At 39.3% G+C, this 6494-nt stretch overlaps 1 long non-coding RNA gene across 1 annotated transcript in view, besides 1 other annotated feature; it reads right to left on the bottom strand.

Moving 5' to 3' along the window:
• Positions 1037–1538: an enhancer, noted in NCBI's record as "NANOG hESC enhancer chr16:90293216-90293717 (GRCh37/hg19 assembly coordinates)". NCBI's record gives its function as "activates a minimal SCP1, AML or CMV promoter by ChIP-STARR-seq in naive H9 embryonic stem cells {active_cell/tissue: H9 hESC(naive)}" and the evidence as "EXISTENCE:reporter gene assay evidence [ECO:0000049][PMID:30033119]".
• The window catches only part of LINC02193 (long intergenic non-protein coding RNA 2193), a 35498-nt gene continuing 34669 nt past the window's right edge, over positions 5666–6494 (bottom strand). Inside the window, exon 4 of the long non-coding RNA NR_186354.1 lies at positions 5666–6102. This is a non-coding gene — a long non-coding RNA (long intergenic non-protein coding RNA 2193). The remainder of the gene's footprint in view (positions 6103–6494) is intronic.

Raw genomic sequence — 6494 nt, 5'->3', positions numbered from 1 at the left:
GATCCCTCATGAATAGATTAATGTCCTCCATGGGGGTGAGTGAGTTCTGTTCTCACAGGAATAGATAATTCCTGCAGGAGTAGGTAATTAAAAAGAGCCTGGCTTCCTTGGCTTCCCTCTTGCTTTCACTTCTGCTGTGTGATCGCTGGTGCACCCCTTGCTCCCCTTCCACTTTCCACCATGAGGTGAAAAAGACTGAGGCCCCGCCAGATGCAACTGCCCAATCTCAGACATTCCAGCCACCAGTATTGTGAACCAAATGAAACTGTTTTACTTATAAATTACGCAGCCTCAGGTATTCTGTTACAGAAGCACAAAATGGACTAAGACACAAATCTAGGTAAAAACTTTGAAAATGAATAGAATCTGTAGGCTGAAGGCACATGAACTATACTTCATTATTGGATTCCATTTTATAAAGTTCTTTCCAACAGAAGCAATTGTGAACAATTGTAAAACCACAGTGTCTGTATCTGGAGTAAAACAATGACTTACATAAGTCGCAGATGGTGGGAACCAGCTTTCTCACTGTTGAAGTGGGAGGTTACAAATTAGCAAGACGAGAAGGCTAGAATGATTCCTGTGATAGTAGATCAGAGGTGGAGACATCAACGTAAACTTATGCTTAGTTTAATATAGATACACACAGTTCTACATAGAAAACTTTATAATTAGGTGTGTGTAGGTAGGTTAGACACGCACATATGCTTCCTAGCATTGCTAATGAGGGACAAGATACAATGTGCATTCAGCAGCCACATGTAAGTTTTCCCACCATTCTGAAAGGAATCAGGCTCTTTGAAGAAATGTCTGATACTAGAACTGGGACAGTAAATATAGGAGCCAGGATAATCTGGAAGTATCAGAAAGTAAGTACTAAAAAAATTAAAATATATCAAACAAAAATAAAAGCCAATAAAAACAGCTACCGATGGCCAACACAGGAAGGAATTGTGCAACATAATGCTATAGTGTCGAATAATAACTAAAGCTTAAAGTAATTATCTAGGTGTCTGTATTTGTATACCTACGTGAATAAGCAAATGGAGTTGCATAGAAATCTCCTTTGCAAAAGAATTCCAAATAACTGATGTAGACACTCAGCCATCAAGAAGGTGGAGCCAACTCCTCACTCCGTAAGTGTGGGCTCTGCATAGTGACTTGCTCCAAAAGAACACATGCAGTACGGACAAGGAGGAAAAATAACTTCACAGTGGAGAAATCTGACAAACAGTAGCTCTGCCAAATGATCCAAGTGAATATCAAAGCTGACAGTTCACCTTGAGAACATGAAGTGACAATGGGGGGCATTCTACAAAATTCCTGACCAATCCTCCTCAGTGCTATGAAGGTCATCATGAGATGGAAAGCCTGACACACTGTCACAGCCAGGAAGAGCCTATGTGATGACTACATGTCGTGCGGGATCCTGGATGGGATCCTGGGTCAGAGTAAGATAGAACTAAGGGAATCCAAATGAAATATGAACTTCAGTTAATAACAGTCTATCAGTATTGGTTCATTAACTGCGGCAAATTATGTAAGATATTAATAAGCCATGTGAGACACACTGATAGAAGATGTTAATAAGAGAGGAAACTAGGTTGCGGCTACATGGGAAATCTCTGCTTTTTTTTTTTGACGATTTCTGTGTAAGTAAAAAAAAGACGTAAAATAAAACTTTATTTAAAACACTGTTTTTTTAACACTTCCTTGTTTAATTATTTATACCATGAATTACTAGTAATTGACACTGTTAACTAGTCCTGTTTTTTAAAATAAGAGCAATTATGACACAAAAAATTAAACAGTGCAGACTGATATATAAATCAAAACAAATGTCCTTTACATGTTTTCTGTTACAGTAGTAACAATATGTGTAAACTTAATTATCATATTTTTTTCTTGTGCTGTGGTTGTGTCCTGGGTTCATTCTCTAAAAAGCTGTTCACCTTAGACCAGGAAAAATATTAACCATACAGACTCTCTTTCAAGTCATAGCTGAATATTTTCAAAAGAGTGACTTTGTAAAAACATGTTCCAATGACAAATTGATTCATTATGATGGGATCAATTATTCCAAAGACTTCCTGTCTTTATTTTCTTGCCATGCCTACCTTTTAGCCCTAATACAACAGAATCAAATATTGGCCAATGGGAAAAAATATTCAAAGAAAGAAAGAATGTGAACAGAACTTATGACCATGATGATTCAATGTTTTACCACAATGCTTTCTAAAACAAAAGAGTCTAAAAGGATATTCAAAGTCAATTTCCTCAGCGAGGATTTGCAGAAAATGAGGAAACTAGAAAAACAAAAATGGCGGGACATTCTACGGGTGATTTTAAATGTTGCTATGTTTTATGGGAAAAAATACTTTACCTTTTAAAGAATCACAAAGAATTATTGGAAACCCAAACTCTGGAATGTTTGCAAATTTAGTTGAGCTTCTGTGTAATTATGTCTATATAGGTAGCCATGAAGTTGATGATTTCTTAAAAATCTGTGCCTTATTTGTGTAATAAAAGACACAATGAATAATTAATACTCATAGGAACACTTACGAAGGGAAAATAAATCTTGGGGACTCAAAATCACTAAGCTAAAGGGAAAAGTCAAGCTGGGAACTGCTTAGGGCAAACCCGCCTCCCATTCTATCCAAAGACACCCGTCTGATCACCTAGATAAATGCATACCTGATTGCCTCACATGGAGAGGGTAATCAGCAATGCAAAAGAATGAAACCATTTGTCTCTTACTTACCTGTGACCTGGAAGCCCCCTGTCTGGCCTTCTCACCTTTCTGGACTGAACCAATGTACATCTTACACGTATTGATTGATCTCTCGTGTCTCCCTAAAGTGTATAAAACCAAGCTGTGCCCCGACCACCTTGGGCCCATGTTGTCAGGATCTCCTGAGGAGGCATCACAGGCGCACATCCTCAAGATTGGCAAAATAAACTTTCTAAAAAATCTGAGAGCTGTCTCAGATTTTCAGGGTTCACACATGTAATGTAGGATGTCAATGTTTATAAAAGGGATGTTATTCTATCTACTATTAGAAATATGCTGTCAATTAACCTTAAACTTTCTCAACACAATAAAAAATGTTGATGAGGTACAAATAATATATCTAGGCTTAAATAGTGTTGCAAGTTTTAATATGCCTACTTTTCAATTTTTCAATACTATCTTTACTAATTTAACACTGTAAGAAAAATGAGTAATTAAAACATGAATAAAAGTGTTTACAGGGGATGCACATGTTTCCTCCAGCCTCTGCCTATACCCAACTTTCATCCCAACTGTCCTGATGGTGGCTCTAAGCATTTCTCCTTTCTCTATACCAAGATATCTCCCCAGAAACAAACCCAAATCTTACTATATGTTATGGCACGCTATGATGATGAGCAGCGATGAGCAGCCGAAGCCTCAAGGAAGGGATGCTTTTGTAAAACAAGACTTGTGGAATATAACATGTGAAAGTAAAGCCCACGGCAGAACTCCCTCCTCAGCACACGGGGAGCAGACAGGAAGCTGTTGCCTCACCTTCCTCAATGGCCTACAGCCACATCTCCCCAGGTCAGTCTTAAGGACAATGAAACTCTGGTCTTCACTGTGGACACGCCACACTACCAGGCGCTCCAAAGCCATGGTGACCCACCCTCGGGTGGGTCCTGAGGAGAACAAAGCTCTGGTTCTAATCCTAACCCTAACCCTGTCCCAAGACTTTGACACTGAACCTAAATCCTGATCCCTATCCTGGTCCCTAATTCTGACCCTTACTTTGACCCTGACTTTGATCTCGACCCTGACCATGACCCCACCTCTAACCATACTTCCGGCCCTGACTCTGACCCAGATCCTAATCCTATGCCTAACCCTATTATTATCTTTACAATCTATCTCTACTCTTACCCTCTAGTGCTAAATAGCTGTACCCAAAAGCACTTTTAAATTATTTAACTTCTTTTCCATGAATTCTCTAAGGACATCCTAAAGGAGATGTCAATATGTATTTTGCATTCCCTCTGAGTGGTATGGCTTCAGATAAGAAGTTCTAATACTTTGCAAGACATAAAAAGTTTGGAGGGTGACAGCACTGGGTTGTTAGGGATGCATGTTGGCATTCGTTGTAGTCATAGGTGCTGTTCTCCAGATATTTTCAGTTCATATTTTATGAATGCATTCTGACTGTTCCATCCCGCCTACTTACATTTTCACATGGCCACATGACTTTTTTTTTTTGCCAATGGAGGTGAGAAGAAATAACATGTGACTTTTTCAGGAGAAATCTCCAAGAAACAGAGTGCTATTCCACATACTTTTTTCTCTTTTCTATAGCAATGGGGATCTTATTGATCGTCCCTCCTTCCGTCTGGATTCCTGTGTTAGGATGACACAGCACAGAGCTACCTCTCACCTGACCCATGATGAAATGTAAATAAATGAGGAAGAAGATTTTTGAGCCACTGAAATTTGGAGGTTGTTTGTCACCACAGTTTAACCTAGCCCCCATTGACTGATGCACGGCTGAAGAATGAGTCCGAACTGGATCTGGACAAGACATGTGAAGAGAGCTCCAGGCTGAGTTAAATTCAAGTGTTTTCTTAAAGATAACAGTGAGCACGATATGTTATTGGGGTGGGTGTGGGATAAATAAGGTATATCAGGTGAGAATAATAAGAAACTCAACTTTAAAAGAAGGTGCTGATTTGGACTGTAGACAGATTCAACTGCCCTGCTTAGCATTTGCGATTGTGATGGATGAACTAATTAAGAGCCCAAAATGAAAGCTTGGGATAAATATCTGAGGGTGTCTAATATCCCAGTTTTTCATCCTAGAATGGGCAGAGTCCTTGACCCCATTCTAGGGAGACTTCCAAAAGAAAAAAGACCTGCATTTCTTCAACAACCCACATAGAGAGACTTTCCTGCACTTTTGACCTGTGGCTAACACTCCTTACCTTTCATTCTGTCATCAGTGTTTTAGGGAAACACCTTTAACTCTCTACGATTTACAGGTTATTAAGTGGCGCTTACAATTCCCTCCAGAGGTGAAAAAGACATAATGATGGTGTCTGAGCTCACAGCAGCAAGCAGGCGTGTGTGCTCAGCAGCCACGTGGCTCATCTGCTAGGAGCTTGCTAAATACGATGTTCTACAACATTGCTTAACACAAGGGGAGACGCTCCTGACTTGGAGAGTTTAATTGCTCACCTACTTCTTTTTCTGCCCTCTTGGGCTTCTAAAATGAAAAGAACCCTGGGGTGATAAAGTGAGTCAAAGGGGTACCAGGTGCATCACAGCAAAATAGATTCCTAAAAAATCCCTGGCCTAAGATGATACCCTTGGCTGGATACGTTTGAATGTGCTGATAGTGGACATGGTAGAGTGAAGGTGGTTGAAATGTTCATATTAAAGAACTTCCACCCAGATTGCAAGAAAAGAGAGAGGAATGGAGATGGCAGCACGAGTCCCTACAATAAAAGCAGATGTTTTGAGACCAGTTATATTTCTTCCGACAAAAATTAAAGACAGAAACCAAAGTTTAGCCTGAGGCTACAATTAATTGGGCAATAAGCCGAAGGCACATGTGGCATAGACAGATTTAAACATTTCTCCCTTATATTAATACAAATACTAAAATTACAAATACTTTGATTCCAAATAAAACAAATGTTTAAAAAATTTAATGAATAAACACTGGGGTCTACAGTAGTATTTGAAGGAGATCTCACAAACAGGTTTCGTTTTTGAAGGTTAGAACTGGTGGTCTAGAGAATTCATTTCATTCCAGAGAGAGAAAGAGAGGAATTTCTTGGGTTCCTTCAGGAATGTGTCTAGCTTTGCCTCATGTTTGTTTGAACGATGGATACGGCAGAAGAAAGCATGAGGATTTCACAGATTTAAGGTGCAAAAAGTCACTGGGTTCTCTAAGAAGTCTGGGATTCTTCTGCTGCAAAAATAAGTTTGTTGAGAAAAAATGAGTTGGAGGAGGCTGTTATTGAAGTGAAGCAGAATTGTTTTTACTAATCTGCTTATTACCCACTCTGCAGTGTGGAAACAAATTATTCATGCACAAGGTCCTCTTACTGTTCCTAGAATGCAGTGGAAAGAGAACAGATTAGTTTTTCTCACTCAGAACACAACCCCTAGAAACATCCTACCTCAGATGAGATATTGCCTAATTATTTTCAAAGGACAGTGAAAAATTATGGATGTAATGTTTGCTGCAAAATTAATACATGCTAGAAACAGAAGCATCTGGGTCACAGCTATATTAGAGCTATCTGTGTTCCCCTGTCACTGAGATTAAAACAAAAATGTCCAATACAATCACTCACAGCATGGGAGAGGGGAAGTTGAAGGATGGAAAGGCCAGGCATAAAAGGATTTCAGAATTTCCGTCCATAAGGAAGTAGCTTTGTGCATTGTCTGTTACTGTGTGCAAGGTGAAGTTTGGAGAATGAAAACGTGCAGTAACAACGGC

The sequence above is a fragment of the Homo sapiens genome, chromosome 16, assembly GCF_000001405.40.
Source record: "Homo sapiens chromosome 16, GRCh38.p14 Primary Assembly".
NCBI lineage: Eukaryota > Metazoa > Chordata > Mammalia > Primates > Hominidae > Homo > Homo sapiens.
This window is presented reverse-complemented; position numbering and strand designations above follow the sequence as displayed.